This window comes from Homo sapiens, chromosome 6 (assembly GCF_000001405.40).
Source record: "Homo sapiens chromosome 6, GRCh38.p14 Primary Assembly".
In the NCBI taxonomy this organism is placed as follows: Eukaryota; Metazoa; Chordata; class Mammalia; order Primates; family Hominidae; genus Homo; species Homo sapiens.
The window spans coordinates 158,858,131-158,873,690 of record NC_000006.12 but is presented as its reverse complement, the minus strand read 5'-3'; the positions used below and the strand labels follow the sequence as shown (position 1 = coordinate 158,873,690).

Sequence of the window (15,560 nt, the reverse complement as noted above, 5' to 3'; positions counted from 1 at the left end):
TCCAATTGATCTATAGATTTAACACAAATACAACCAAAATCCCCCACGTGGTGGGGCACAGTGGCTCACCTGTAATCCCAGCATTTCAGGGACTGAGACAGGAGGATCACTCGAGGCCAGGAATTTTGAGACCAGTATGGGCAACATAGCGAGACCTCCGTCTCTACCAAAAAAAAAAAAAATTTTTTTTTAATTAGCCAGGTGTGGTGATGCACACCTGTGATCCTAGCTACTCAGGAGGCTGAGGCAGAAAGATCCCCTGAGCCCAGGAGTTTGAGGTTACAGTGAGCTATGATGGCACCACTGCACTCCATCGGGGCTACAGACTGAGACTCTGTCTGAAAAACAAAACAAAACAAACAAAAAAAGAACAAAATTCCCAGCAGGATTGTTAAAACATATAGACAAGCCTAAAATACATATGGAAAGTCAAATGAAGTAAAATACCCAAGTAATCAGGAAAAAGAACAAAGTTGGAGGGCGCTAAGACTTACTTTAAAGCTACAGCAATCAAGACAGTGTCGTGTTGGTGAAGGGATAGACACAGATCAATGAAACAGAACAAATGGTCCAGAAATAAATTCACACAAATATGGCCAACTGACGTTTCACAAAGTGGCAGGTGCAAAGTCAATGGAAGGGAGTCTTTTTAATAAAGAACTTGTATCCAGAATATTTAAAGAACTCTCAAAATTCAATGGTAAGAAAACAACCTGATTTTGGCCGTGTGCGGTGGCTCACGTCTGTAATCCCAGCACTTTGGGAGGCCGAGGTGAGCAGATCACCTGAGGTTAGGAGTTCAAAACCAGCTTTGCCAACACGGTGAAACCCCGTCTCTACTAAAAATACAAAAATTAGCCGGGTATGGTGGCGCATGCCGGTAATCCCAGCTTCTCAGGAGGCTGAGACAGGAGAATTGCTTGAACCCGGGAGGCAGAGGTTGCAGTGAGCCAATATCGTGCCATTGCACTCCAGCCTGGGTGACAGAATTCTGTCTCAAAAAAAAAAAAAAAAAAAACCACTAGGAAATACTGCTGCATAACCATCAAAAATTTAAGACTGTTAACACCAATTGTTGGCAAGGATGTGAAGTAACTATAATTTTCTTTTCTTCTTTTCTTTTTTTTTTTTTTTGAGATGGAGTTTCACTCTTGTTGCCCAGGCTGGATGGAGTGCAATGGCATGATCTCGGCTTACCGCAACCTCCACTTCCCAGGTTCAAGCGATTCTCCTGCCCCAGCCTCCCGAGTAGCTAGCTGGGATTACAGGCATGCGCCACCATGGCCAGCTAATTTTGTATTTTTAGTAGAGACGCGGTTTCTCCATGTTGGTCAGACTGGTCTCGAACTTCCAACCTCAGGTGATCTGTCTGCCTTGGACTCCCAAAGTGCTGGGATCACAGGCGTGAGCCACCTCGACCAGTCCTTTTTTTTTTTTTTTTTTTTTTTTTTGAGATGTAGTCTCGCTCTGTCACCCAGGCTGGAGTGCATTGGCATGATCCCAGCTCACTGCAACCTCTGCCTCCTGAGCTCAGGAGAGTCTTCTGCCTACGCCTCCCAAGTAGCTGGGACTACAGGCGTACGCCACCATGCCCAGCTAATTTTTTTTTTTTTTTTTTTTTTTTAGTAGAGATGGAGAATCACCATATTGGCCAGGCTGGTCTCGAACTCCTGACCTCGTGATCCACCTGCCTCGGCCTCCCAAAGTGCTGGGATTACAGGCGTGAGCTGCTGCGGCCAGCCAATTTTCAAAAATTGATTCAATCCTTTTGGGAAACTGCCAGCAGTGTCTACTAAAACTAAATATACACCTATCATCCTATGACACAAAAATTCCTTTTATAGGTATATATCCTACTAAAATCAATTATTCATCATACTACATGAATGTTCAGAGCAGCTTTATGCATAATAGCCAAAAACTGAAAACAACCCACATACACATCAATGGTAAAAAGGATAAGTTAACTTAAGTATATTCATGCAATAGAATACTATTCAGTAATAAACAAACTTCAAACTACTGATACGTGTGATAACATGGAGGAATCTTACAGACACTACGGTGGGTGAAAAAAAACAGAAATGCAAAGGTGTCCAATCTTTTGGCTTCCCTGGGCCACACTGGAAGAATTGCCTTGGGCCACACATAAAATACACTAAAATTAACAATAGCTGATGGGCTAAAAAAAAAAAAAAAAAATCACATGGCGGGGCGCGGTGGCTGATGCCTGTAATCCCAGCACTTTGGGAGGCCGAGGTGGTCAGATCACCTGAGGTCGGGAGTTTGAGACCGGCCTGCCCAATATGGTGAAACCCCATCTCTACTAAAAATACAAAAATTAGCCAGGTGTGGTGGCACCAGCCTGTAATCTCAGCTACTCGGGAGGTTGAGGCATGAGAATCGCTTGAACCTGGGAAGCGGTGGTTACAGTAAGCCGAGATCACACCACTGCACTCCAGCCTGGGCAACAGAGACTCTGTCTCAAAAAAATAAATAAATAAATAAAGTCACAAAAAATCTCGCAATGTTTTAAGAAAGTTTACAAATTTGTGTTGGGCCACATTCAAAACCGTGGCCTGTGCGGGTTGGACAAGTTTGGAATAAAGCATAATGCTTGATTGCAATTACATGAAGTTTAAGAGTAGACACAACTCATACTTGGTAATTTAAGTCCAAATGAATAGTGGTTACCTCTGGGGAAGTACTACTGACCGGAAGGAGCAGTTGGAAACCTGGGGTGATGGAAATGTTCTAGATCTTGACCTAGGGGCTAATGACATGTGTATACATATGTAAAACTTCACCCAGCTGTCCTCTTAATTTCTGTGCGATTTATTGTGTGTAAATTATATCAGTTAGGAAAAAATAAGAAAAATGAAGGAATGATGGAGAAAAAAAGAAATGAAGAGAAACGTAACGAAGGAAGAAAGAAGGGAGGAAGGGAGGGAGGGAGAGAGGAAGGGGGGATTAAACCCAAGCACGGAGGGGGAGAGATGCTCCTCAAAAATATGCTATCAGTCATGTAGTGTTATTTATTTATTTATTGAGATGGAGTCTCGCTCTGTTGCCCAGGCTGGAGTGAGTGGCACGATCTCGGCTTACTGCAACCTCCACCTCCCAGGTTCAAGAGATCCTCCTGCCTCAGCCTCCCGAGTAGCTGCCATTACAAGCACACGCCATGGTGACCGGCTATTATCTGCATCTTAAAGATGGGGAAAGTTTGAGGTTTCCTGATGTGTTCAGCGTCACAGACTGGGTGAGTGACTCAAGCTGAGGCTAAAACCCAGGTGTGTAGGGCACCAAAGCCTTTGTGATTCCACCTCCTACAGCTCAGGTCACTTCCTCGGAGAAAGGTGACTCCTAGAAATGCCTCCCACCTGGAACTGATCTCCTCCTGGGAAGAACGTCTGTCTTATCGCCGTCGACCTTAGGCATGGACACCCTTCTGTCCCCCACCCACAACTGTGAGCCTGCTCAGGAGGCACAGCCGCGTTCATTCATTTTAGGCCTCCTCAAGGGCTCAGCGCCTGCTAAGCAGATGCGCGTTCCTGTAGGACAAGGGGTGGCCACTGGAGACGCGGGTGCGACGCAGGCGATCACGCCCTCGGACGACGCTGCGGACTGCGCTTCCTTCCGAAGAGGGAACCGTTGAGAAGAGTGAAGCGATGAGTTATGCCTCACTGGAAACCAACCGCGTCCGTGTGACTCACTTAGAAACTCACTGTTACATATTTGGAGCCTGAGCTGACGACCTTCCGGGTACACGTCAGGCAGAAGCAGGTGCGCGGTGGGAGTGTCCGCCCCGCCCCGCCGGTCGCGCCGGCCCCGCCCCCCTCACCTGCGCGCGCAACCCCACCCCAGCGCGAGGCTCTGCACCGGCCGCGCCCGCCATCCAGCTTTTATATGGCGCTATTTTGGTCGCGCGCCCTGATTGGCCGGGAGCGGGCGACGACACGCTCGCGCGCCTCAGGGAGGGGCCAAGATCTGGGGGAGGGGAGCTTCTGGCAGCCGCGCGGATCCGGGGGCGGCGGGGCGGGACTGCTGCGGTCTCTGGGGGTGCTTTGGGGCTTCTGTGCCTAGTCTGCAATCTGTTAGTGGGGTTATATTTTAATAAAAGAGCTTGTGTGTCCGAAGGGGATTTGCCAAGAACCAAACTCACCCTTCTGGGAGGGAGTTGCCAGATGGCGGGAACAGGCGGCGTAAACCTTACCAGACGTGAGCCCAGGCTGCTCAAGTGTCATTCGCGTCTTGAAGCTCTTGCCCGCCTCCCTTTGCAAGCGCGTCTAATGCCAACTCTACCTTGCCCTTTGCTAAACCAGCCCTCTAATGTGTTATCGTGCCTCACGTCAGACAATGGCTGGGCCTGTCTCTCTTTCCCCTTGGTTCTGTCCTCTGCCCTTCTCTTAAGCCAGAAGAACAAAACACTCCTTAGAATCGCTGGAGGATCTCATTTCCACCACATTCCCGTGTCCGGAGCCGAAGAGCCACGTCTGACCCTCACTGGTCTGGCTGTCCACCAATCAGGCAGCATTGCTTCTCTGAGTCTCAAGGTTATTAAATTTCTTCTGGTGGCAGACTGGTTTTGTACTTTGGTGAAAGTGACCAAATAGGTACGAAGTGTGATTCATCAAAAATTCTTACACTTAAAAAGATAAGCCAAAAGGATCATTCGAAGCCACCACTCCATATTAGATGGGAACTTAGCTTGAAAGGGGTTCTCTTAAGGATTTCTATTTACTTCTTTGAATTACAAATATCATCTCTGGTTGGAAAGCCTATAAACGCCTCTGAGATTTCCTGAGTTCACAACTTTGAAGATCATTTGCAGCTGGATGCAGAAAAAACAAACCTAGTAATTGTTGAATGTGGACATCAATAAGAATTAAGTACTTTTGGCCCAAAGGCAGTGGTTCACACCTGTAATCCTAGCACTTTGGGAGGTCGAGGCAGGAGGATAACCTGAGGTCAGGAGTTCCAGACCACCCTGGCCAACATGGTGAAACCCCATCTCTACTAAAAATACAAAAATTGGGTGGGCGTGTTGGCGCATGCCTGTAATCCCAGCTACTCAGGGCTGAGGCACCGAATTGCTTGAACCCAGGAGGCAGAGGCTGCAGTGAGCAGAGATCATGTCACTGCACTCCAGCCTGGGCGGCAGAGCAAGACTTGTCTCCAAAAAGAACTTTCAATGTGCCAGGCATTTTAAATGCTTAACAGGCATTTCATTTAATCCTCACAAAATCCCCATGACTTAGATACTATTATTATACCCATTTTACAGAAAGGGTCTAGAAAGCTTGCATAACATTGTGTCTGGACTTGGTTCCTGCCAGTGGGTTCGTGGTCTCAGTGACTTCAAGAATGAAGCCACAGACCTTCGCGGTGAGTGTTACAGCTCTTAAAGATGGCCGGGACCCAAAGAGTGAGCAGTAGCAAGGTTTATTGTGAAGAGCGAAAAAGCTTCCACAGCATGGAGGAGGACCCAAGTGGGATGCCGCTGCTGGCTGGGGTGGCCAGCTTTTATTCCCTTATTGTCCCCACCCATGTTCCATTTCTATCCTATCAGAGTGCCCTCTTTTTCAATCCTTCCCGTGACTGGCTACTTTTAGAATCCTGCTGATTGGTGCGTTTTACAATCCTCTTGTAAGACAGGAAAGTTCCCCAAGTCCCCACTGGACCCAGGAAGTCCAGCTGGCCTCACCTCTCAACATGACTCATGCAACACATTAGTACCATGGCAGTGCCGGGATTCACACCCAAGGTTGTCTGACTCCTGTGTGCCCTTAACTACTAAGCTCTGCAGTTTCTTCTTTCCTAACCAGAAACTTAGTCTTAAGCGGGCCCAGAAGGAGTTGGGATCACTACCAGGTGTTACAAATCTTCAGGAAGACATTTGTCCTGCTGCTGGTTTAAGAAAAGGATTGCTACTGTGGGGCGTGGTTGCTCACACCTGTAATCCCCACTATTTGGGAGGCTGAGGTGGAAAGATCACTTTAGCCCAGGAGGTTCAGGCTGCAGTGAGCTGTGATCACACCGCAGCACTCCATCCTGGGTGACAGAGCGAGACCTTGTCTTAAGAAAAAAAAAAAGATTGCTATGTGAGAGGGAAAATAAGGGTGCCTACAGTCTCAACAATCTCCGCTTCCCCTGAGCAACAGACCATATTAAATCTGCAGTACAAAGTTTCTGAAAATGTCTCAGATTCTGCTGTGTTCATCAATTTGGAGAACGACCTGTTTACAAAGTGGCCTCACTTAGATCCACTTGGTTGGTTAGGAACCAGGAAGCAAACCGATCATAAGAATGACTTTCAAACTTTCTTCTACACTTTCTTCCAAAAAGCTACCAGAACTACCTGATAGAAATTCCAAATACAGTAGACCCTGCAGTGGAAACTGCCTTGGAGCCAGGCAGGCTTGGGTTTAATCCCCAGTCCCACCATCCCCCAACCCGTCTCTCTGAAGTTGTATGAATTTCCAAACTTTTATGAACCTCAGATTCTTTATTTGTAACCTGTTTGGCTGAAAGGATTAACTGAGATCTCTGAAGTTCCTGAATTATTGAGTGGCACAAATAGGTATTCAAAAAAATGTTCATTATCTTTTTTGCTCCTTCCCGTGAATGATTAAGAAGAAAAGCACCTAGTCATGACTATTCTATCTTTATTATTTCTCTTACAGAGCTACATTGACTGTACTAAGTTTCATAGTCAGGTAGTAATTTACAGTAAGACTTAATTATCATCCATAACTTTAAATGTCCTTATCAAAACTTCAACGACATCACTTCCAAATACTAGCATTAGCTTTGTGTCTGACATTCATTTAACAAAGTTACTAAAAATCTATTAAGTGTAAGACTTTGGTTATTTTTTAATAGAACTTTCTGAAAACTTTTCAGCAATATAGCCTATTGAGAAAAATGGGTATGTTGAAAAACAAAAACAAAAAGCATGGTTTACAAACAAGTATTAGGGAAATAGTATTTTTATTATTATAACCTGTTCCTTCTTACTGCTCCCAAGCTCCAACTCTGACCATAACTCTTAATGAAAATAATTTGGTCTGGTAAGACTAAATAAATAAAAAAGAAAACAAAGTTTATTGAAAAGCAAAACATTGGGCTGGGCACAGTAGCTCATGCCTGTAATGCCAGTACTTTGGGAGGCCAAGGTGGGAGGATTACTTGAAGCCAGGAGTTTCAGACCAGCCTGAGCAATGCAGTGAGACCCCATCTCTAAATAAAAAAGAAAAAGAAAAAAAGACAAAAAACTAAGAACAGAAAGTAGAATTTAAGAAAAATTAAAGATGTTCCTTTACAAACATAATTCAGAGATGCTTTTCCCTTTTAAAGCCATTCAGTATTTTTTGTCAATTGATTTTGCATCATAGACATGACCCATCATTTTCAACACCGCTAATCAGTCAAAGGGAGACTTTTAAGTCTTCAAGTATAAAGTTGTAAAATGTGCAGTGTGTGTTGCACATCAGGGTAGTGGTGGATACTACTGCTAAAATACAAAATTTGCAAACCATTAGACATCCAAGTAAGTTTTAAATGAGCAGATTTCCAGAAATTTGGAAAGTATTAACAAAATGGTTTGAAATTAAGTGGAACAACTTTTCTAGCTCAAAAGAATATGACTTAGGCAACACGTACTTGACACCCAAACACCTGTGTGGATTAGTTGATTTAGTCAAATGAGCAGCCAGCTCAATAGAAAAGAAATTCATCAAACTCACTTTTTTAGACCACATTCACTTCTGCTTTTAGACTTAGCAATCTTTCATAGCACTTGTATCTAAGTAATGTGAAATTAACATATATATTAAATATGTAAGATCAATTATTGAAAAAACTGATGTTATTAGCTACAAAAATAGTAACATGAACTGAGGATGCACTGTAATAGATGCCGGATGCCAGAGTGGTTCAACATAATCATTTTGATTCTCCTTTTAACTCCTGTCATTGCCAGCAACAGTGATTTAGGTTGTGGTTGGCTCAGATTATCTTTTGCTGCAATAAATTTTTGCTGCAATAAAGGGCTGCTGTTGAAAACCTGCCTGTTCTCTAACTCATTACTGTTGCCCCAATACTACATCTTCTATTAAACAAAACTGAGGAGCCAAACGCTAGCAGGTAGTGAAAATGTCCTCTACTATTGCTAAACAAGTGAACACAGCCATCACCCTGAAACCTGAGCATTCAATGAGAATCTACATTTTAAATGGCTCTTTTGAAGCATTCATTCATCCATCCAGTCGTTCAACAAATAATTCTTGCTTTCTATGTCCCAAGCATGTACATAGGAATAAATAGGAGTAGTTCATGTTTCCTGCTATGGAAGGGCTTGCAGTCTAGTGGAGTGAGAGATGAATAAGCAAATAAGGCAGCTGAGAGCTAATTGCAACCATGGAGGAATTTAAGTAGGTGTGCAAAGGTGGAAGGATGGGGAAGGCTATGGAGATTGTAGGCAACACCAAGCACAAGGCTCACGATCTGGGAGTGTCGGGGGATAAGGTCAGTCAAAACACAGATGGCTTGACAGCCACGCTAAGGCATTAGACCACCATCCTGAGGGCAGTGTGGAGCTTACAGGCAGTTGAGAGAATATCAGAGTGGGGAGCCCCAGTGGCTCACGCCTGTAATCCCAGCACTTTGGGAGGCCGAAGCTGGTAGCTCGCTTGAGGTCAGGAGTTCGAGACCAGCCTGGCCAACACAGCGAAACCCCGTCTCAACTAAAAATACAGCAATTAGCCAGGCATGATGGTGCGTGCCTGTAGTCCCAGCTACTCAGGAGGCTGAGGCAGGAGAATTGCTTGAACCCGGGAGGCAGAGGTTGCAGTGAGCCGAGATTGTGCCACTGCACTCCAGCCTGGGTGACAGAGCGAGACTCTGTCTCAAAAAAAAAAGCAAAGAGAATATCAGAAAGGCTGCTTCCTGGAGCCTGCTGACTGGCTTTCCATGCTGTACAGAAGGAAGAAAAAGGGAAGACTCGGCTCTAGTGTCCAGTTCTCCTGGGCTGTGGTATTGTCCTTAATATTTGCCTCAAGATATTTTACTGTCTCTGTTTTACCCAGAACCAGAACGTCAGGTGAATTTGCAGGATTTTTAGGGAAAGCATTTTACCAGATGTCATCAGTCATGGTTCTGTGATAGTGAACAAATGGTTCCAGCAGCCTGGGAGATCATTACCACGTTTAATACATACAGTGTTCTTATACATACAGAATTGGCCTTCTGTCTAAAAACTGCAAGTTGGAGGGTGTCTTAATGACATTGCTCACTTCTTTGCTGTAAAATGCATGGTGAGGCTCTCTGCTAGCACCTTCTTGGAAGTATATAATACTCGTTAAAGGCCCTAGCCATTGAGTGGATTAATACATTGCAGACTGCCACAGTCACTGAAGGGGCACATTCTAACATAAACACTACTGGTGATATGAAGGCAGCATTCCTGCAAAAAAAAAAAAAAAAAAATCAGAGCACAAGAAATGCATAGTACAGAATGAACAGCTAAAAATCAGTTCAGAGGTACATCTGAGTCTGGAAAGAAGTCACCGATTCTACAGAAACAGCTGTCTCAAAGAATATGGGATCAAAATCCATCAGAATGAAATTCAGAAGTGTTCAAGCCATTCGCTGTGCCTTGCTTTGAGGAGTCTTGATTATTTCCTCCACAGTGAAACTAAGGAATTGTACCACATTTAGGTGGATCTGGGCAGGATGGCTCACCAGAGTAGCATTTTACAGCAGCAATCCTAAAAATGCACGGAATGCAAAATAAAGTCTTTTATGGCTGCGGGGAGGAATCATGAGACACATTCACCTAGTCCTGGGGCATGAGCCCCTTCTCCAAAGCTGCTCACTTTGGATGATGGGTCAGTGGCTGAAACTCTGTGTGGTGATTGCATGGACTCTTGAGTGAGCAGCTTCACAGAGGTGCCCGAAAGCCTCTTAGAATGAGCTGGTTCACTCCACCAGGCATAGGAGTCAAGATGGGCAGACCTTGGAAAGGCCTGATGTCTGGATGTTTTCCAGAGGTTTCCCAGGCATTCTCCAAGGACTGGAAGTTTCCAGGGGGTAGCCAGTGGCCTTCATTCTAGACCTGGCCACATTAACAGTTTACTTGCCAGTAGAAGTACAGGCAGACTTTTCAGAGGAATTACTCAACTAAGATACTTTCAAACTCGTGTTCAAGACCAAAATTTCTGGTAATAAAGGGAACAATCTGGCTGGGCATAGTGGCTCATGCCTGTAATCCTACCACTTTGGGAGGCTGAGACGGGAGGATCACTTGAGCTCAGAGGTTTGAAACCAGCTTGGGTAACATAGTGAGATCTTGTCTCTCTCCCTCTCTCTCTCTCTCTGTATGTATGTGTATACACGCACACACACACACACACACACACACACACACACACACACACACACACACATATATTTTTTGAGACTGAGTCTCGCTCTGTGGCCAGGCTAGAGTGCAGTGGCGAGATCTCGGCTCGCAAGCTCCGCCTCCTGGGTTCCCGCCATTCTCCTGCCTCAGCCTCCCGAGTAGTTGGGACTACAGGCGCATACCACCATGCCCGGCTAATTTTTTTGTATTTTTAGTAGAGACGGGGTTTCACCGTGTTAGCCAGGATGGTCTCGATCTCCTGATCTCGTGATCCACCCACCTCAGCCTCCCAAAGTGCTGGGATTACAGGCGTGAGCCACTGCGCCCAGCCTTATATATTTTGAAAAGAGGCCAATCTAATTTGAAAACACATTCACTATGAAAACACCTAAACATGCATAAAATATAGCAAACTTCTCTTTAAATGCAATATCCAAAATAGCAATACCTGACAGTCTCAGTAACCTAGGGACTTCAGGATATCCAGAAGCCCTACTTCATCTCTGTACATAAAGTGTGTCACAGATTGTTAGTGAAAAAAGGACATAAAATCAGAACTTCTGAAGTCACCTTCTTTTTTTTTTTTTTTTTTTGAGATGGAGTCTTGCTCTGTCACCAGGCTGGAGTGCAGTGGCGCAATCTTGGCTCACTGCAACCTCCACCTTCCAGGTTCAAGCGATTCTCCTGCCTTAGCCTCCCGGAGTAGCTGGGACTGCAGGCGAACACCACCACACCCAGCTAATTTTTGTGTTTTTAATAGAGACAGGGTTTCACCATGTTGGCCAGGATGGTCTCAATCTCTTGACCTCATGATCTGCCCTCGTCAGCCTCTCAAAGTGCTGGGATTATAGGCGTGAGCCACCGCGCCTGACCAAGTCACCTTCCTAAGCTGATCCATGTTGCTAGTGTTGCTGATCCACACATATAAGGTCTTTACAATCTATAATATTCCCATTCTAAAAGCAAACCAAGGCTTTCCTGTCTTCTTTCCTTAATAATTCAGTTCTAAAGCCCTTGAGATCAGTGGCCCACACAAAGAGAGTTTGCTAAGCAGGGCAGTGGCCTGGCAGAGTCAGTAGACTAGTTTCATACAGAGAGATTGAGCAAATAAGTAAATATATTCAGGATAATGAGTGTCGGGTTTCTTACTGTTGAAAGGGGGAGTTACAAGTATGAAAGGGGAGAAGCTGAATAAACCATGTAGCATTGCTTTGGAATTGGAGGCATCAATATGCACTGTAGGTTTTCAGTATCTGTGTGTGTGTGTGTGCGTGTACACGCATATATTTTCTAGTTCTGACTATTAAAAGATACTAAAGCAGTGAGATCCCAATAGCAGCAAGCACACCTATCACCAAAATCTTGGTTTCTAAAAATCATTCTCTATTAAAAGGAGCAGGGCTTCCTGGTTCCACGGCTGAGTCAGAGAAAGTACAGAAGGAGCCTAGAACATCTTGTTTGGCCAGAAAGTCAGGAAGCACTCAAAGTATAATGGAAATAAGTCCAAAGGACACAGAAGCCAACTTGAATGTGCTCTCACTAGCCAAGTCTGGAACAATTAAAGTATCAAGATATATAATGGTAATAAGAGATGATAAATTCATCGAATAAAATAGGAATCCACAAGTCCATACTGAGGTAGATAGATAGATAGATAGATAGATAGATAGATAGATAGATATTAAAAGGGAAAGCTCAATGTTATAGTAGCGTGCAACCAGTAAGTGTAGATAGAATGACAGAATTAGAAAATCAGCTTTTGCTAACCATCATAGTAATAATTAAGGAAGAAACTTCAATGGATGCTAAAACTAGTGACTGAAAGTTTGATGAGGAATAGGACATTTATATAGTCTCAAATAAGTACTTATTAAAAACAAAGAGAAAATAAGTAACTGATGGTGGAAAAACCTGACGGATACCACCTGAATCAAGCGATCAAAGTTAAATCATTGGCCGACTAGAGTGCAAACATGGATAAGTCTAACAACTACGTCGCACACAACCAGTCCTCAAAATGACACACACATGGCATCAATAAACCATGAAGATGTTCCTGAGAAACATATAGTTTGCAAAGAAGCACAAAAAGGATCTGGACAGGGCAGGCGCAGTGGCTCACGCCTGTATACAGTCCCAGCACTTTGGGAGGCTGAGGCGGGGAGATCACCTGAGGTTGGGAGTTCGACACCAGCCTGACTAATATGGAGAAACCCCGTCTCTACTAAAAATACAAAAAATTAGCTGGGCATGGTGGCACATGCCTGTAATCCCAGCTACTCAGGAGGCTGAGGTAGGAGAATTGCTTGAACCTAGGAGGCGGAGGTTGCGGTGAGCCGAGATCGTGCCATTGCACTCCAGCCTGGGCAACAAGAGGGAAACACTGTCTCAAAAAAAGAAAAAAAATAGGGCCTGGAGAAGAAGCAGGTCAACAATGCCAAGGCTGGGAGTGTACTTGCAGAGGCCATCAGGGCCCTCAGAAATCCCAAGGCAGATCCCCAAAGCCACAGGCTCAATTGACTTGTCCTCATTGCTCAGCCCAAGTTCAGGAAGTGTACTGGTGCCCACATTGCCTGGGGCGCCCACATCACCAGGGTCTCAGACTCTGTAGGCCAAAGGCTTAGGCCCAGTCTCCATCAGCTCAGGCTCCCAAAGGTTCCTCAGCCCCCATGAAGGCTCTCGAGCAGAGGCCTCCTTCTGTTAATGTGAGGACAGAAGGACTGGTGTCTTCCTGGGTTGCCATCTGAATGGGCCTGGTGTCCTTTCTGTGTCATTTGTAGATAAACCTCAGGCAGGAGCTGCCAAAAAATAAAAGTTAACGTCATCGATAATGGGACAAACAGAACCACGTGCCCCCTGATAAGATACAATAAGAACATGAATCATTTCTGCGAAATTCCTCCAAAATGCATAATCTGAATCTCTGAGAAAACATCACACAAACCCAAATTGAGGAACATTTTCCAAAATAATGCCTGTAATCTTCAAAATGTCACTGTTCTGAGAGACAAGGAGAGACTGAGGAAACGTTCCAGACTGACAGAGACTAAAGAAACACGACAACTAAATGAAGTGCCTGATCCTGGACTGGATCATTTGGCTACAAAGAACATCATTCAGAGGGTGGGAGGGGTGAGGGTTCAAAAATCACCTATTGGGTACAGTGTTCACTCTTTGGGGGACAGGTACACTAGAAGCCCAAACGTCACCATTATGCAATATACCCATGTAACAAACCTGCACGTATACCCCTTGAATCTGAAATTTAATTTAATTATTAAAAAATAAGATCATTTGGACAACTGGTTAACATTGAACAGGGTGTCCTGATCTTGATGGTTATACTGAGGGTGTATGGAAGAGTGTCTTTGTTTGTGGGCCATATATACTAATGTTTTTAGAGGTACAAGGAAATCATGCCTGCAACTTTTTCTTTTTTTTGAGACAGGGTCTCACTCTGTAGTCCAGGCTGGAGTGCAGTGGTGTGATCATGGCTCACTGTAGACTCCACATTCTGGGTTCATGTGATCCTCCCACCTCAGCCTCCCAAAGAGCTGGGACTGCAGGTGTGCACCATCACACCTGGTTAATTTTTTAAATTGTTTTGTAGAGATGAGGTCTCTTCATGCTGCCCAGGCTGGTCTCAAACTCCTGGGCTCAAGCAATCCTCCCACTTCAGCCTTCCAAAGTGCTGGGATTACAAGTGTGAGCCGCCCGGCCTTACTTTTTTTTTTTTTTTTTTTTTTTTTGAGACAGAGTCTCACTCTGTCGCCCAGGCTGGAGTGCAATAGCATGATTTCAGCTCACTGCAACCTCCGCCTCCTGGGTTCAAGTGATTCTCCTGCCTCAGCCTCCTGAGTAGCTGAGACTACAGATATGCGCCACCACACCTGGCTCATTTTTATATTTTTAGTAGAGATAGGGTTTCTCCATGTTGGCCAGGCAGATCTCAAACTCCTGACCTCAGGTGATCTGCTCACCTTGGCCTCCCAAATTGCTGGGATTACAGGTGTGAGCCACCACACCAAGCCCTTACTTTCAAATTATTCAAGAACTAAAAAGTTCTTTGAATTATTCTTGCAACTTTTCTATATTTTTTATTATTTTTTTAAACCAAGGACTTCAAACACACTGAGGCTAACAAGTTTTTGCCACAATTGCTAGCATGCATTCACTAACCTGGAGGCAGGCACCCACTTTGTGCCAGGCAGTGTGTCCAGCTGCCTTCTTGAACCTGCGCTACTGACAGAAAGGATGTGAAGAATTGGATCTGGCGGCATTAATTTACTTTTTGAGGTCACATGTGTATTGAAGTCAGAATCTACAGTACAGTGAAGACAAACCACTTCTTAACATTGAAGCCTCCTTACAATTAGGAGCCATGTTCAATCAAAACATGATTAATTGTTGCCAAGGACTGAAGGGCTTACTGCTCCAGGTTGTCATCTTCAGATCAGAAACATATTCCAGGGGTAGAGCCAGGTCTTACGATGCAGGTCTATGTTTTGTGCCCCACACCATTTAAGAAAAGTATTATACAATTATGAATTTTTAAAAAATCGGTACAGGACCTTGGAAGAGGGGCACACAGGCAAGGACCCTGGAGCTCATGCTTGACTGGCTTCTCAGGAAATCTTCCTCTGGCTATGCACAAATCGGACAGCACCACCGCAGCTTGAGAGGCGAGAAGACCAATCATGTCCTCCGTGCTGGTGTCCTTTCATCTATGAGAATCAAAATGCTTCTAGGACTTTTCTCTCAAGATAAATCTAAGGCCTGAGTTGGGCTGTCCCTTTAGGCACTCTCTTGGTGTCAGCAGAATGATTGGACCCAGTTTTGAAGGAGAACGTGTTCAGTGGAATGCCAGAGTTCTTTTTTTGTTTGTTTGTTTTGTTTTGAGACAGAGTCTCGCTCTGTCGCCCAGGCTGGAGTGCAGTGGCGCAATCTTGGCTCACTGCAACCTCTGCCTCCCTGTTCTTTCCTTGAGACTTTCATCACTTCAATCTCAGTGGTCTATTCCCCGACCATCGTCCCTAGTGGCCTGGAGACAGCAGAGGCGGGGTCCACATCTTGCTCATCCCTGTAGACCTAATTCCTAGCACTGTGCCTTGCATGTGAAGCCAGGTTGCTTGCTAAATGCATCCATGAATGTAGCTGT

The 15,560-nt window shown here is 44.8% G+C and overlaps 1 long non-coding RNA gene across 6 annotated transcripts in view, besides 6 other annotated features; it reads right to left on the bottom strand.

The window, feature by feature from the left end:
- The window catches only part of LINC02901 (long intergenic non-protein coding RNA 2901), a 40,540-nt gene extending 36,663 nt beyond the window's left edge, over positions 1-3,877 (bottom strand). For 2 of the 6 annotated variants that reach the window (NR_160981.1, NR_160976.1), the window contains exon 1: positions 3,381-3,662. This is a non-coding gene — a long non-coding RNA (long intergenic non-protein coding RNA 2901). Of the gene's footprint in view, positions 1-69; positions 164-3,380; positions 3,663-3,713 lie in introns of those variants that run through there. The other 4 variants (NR_160977.1, NR_160982.1, NR_160980.1 and 1 more) reach the window with 4 other exon arrangements.
- Positions 2,884-3,557: an enhancer, noted in NCBI's record as "H3K27ac hESC enhancer chr6:159291166-159291839 (GRCh37/hg19 assembly coordinates)". NCBI's record gives its function as "activates a minimal SCP1, AML or CMV promoter by ChIP-STARR-seq in primed H9 embryonic stem cells {active_cell/tissue: H9 hESC(primed)}" and the evidence as "EXISTENCE:reporter gene assay evidence [ECO:0000049][PMID:30033119]".
- Positions 3,488-3,657: an enhancer, noted in NCBI's record as "active region_25374". NCBI's record gives its function as "activates an Ori minimal core promoter by ATAC-STARR-seq in GM12878 lymphoblastoid cells {active_cell/tissue: GM12878}" and the evidence as "EXISTENCE:reporter gene assay evidence [ECO:0000049][PMID:35858748]".
- Positions 3,488-4,230: a biological region, named in NCBI's record as "NANOG-H3K27ac-H3K4me1 hESC enhancer GRCh37_chr6:159290493-159291165".
- Positions 3,558-4,230: an enhancer, noted in NCBI's record as "NANOG-H3K27ac-H3K4me1 hESC enhancer chr6:159290493-159291165 (GRCh37/hg19 assembly coordinates)". NCBI's record gives its function as "activates a minimal SCP1, AML or CMV promoter by ChIP-STARR-seq in naive and primed H9 embryonic stem cells {active_cell/tissue: H9 hESC(naive and primed)}" and the evidence as "EXISTENCE:reporter gene assay evidence [ECO:0000049][PMID:30033119]".
- Positions 3,738-4,057: a silencer, noted in NCBI's record as "silent region_17747". NCBI's record gives its function as "represses an Ori minimal core promoter by ATAC-STARR-seq in GM12878 lymphoblastoid cells {active_cell/tissue: GM12878}" and the evidence as "EXISTENCE:reporter gene assay evidence [ECO:0000049][PMID:35858748]".
- Positions 4,231-4,903: an enhancer, noted in NCBI's record as "NANOG-H3K27ac-H3K4me1 hESC enhancer chr6:159289820-159290492 (GRCh37/hg19 assembly coordinates)". NCBI's record gives its function as "activates a minimal SCP1, AML or CMV promoter by ChIP-STARR-seq in naive H9 embryonic stem cells {active_cell/tissue: H9 hESC(naive)}" and the evidence as "EXISTENCE:reporter gene assay evidence [ECO:0000049][PMID:30033119]".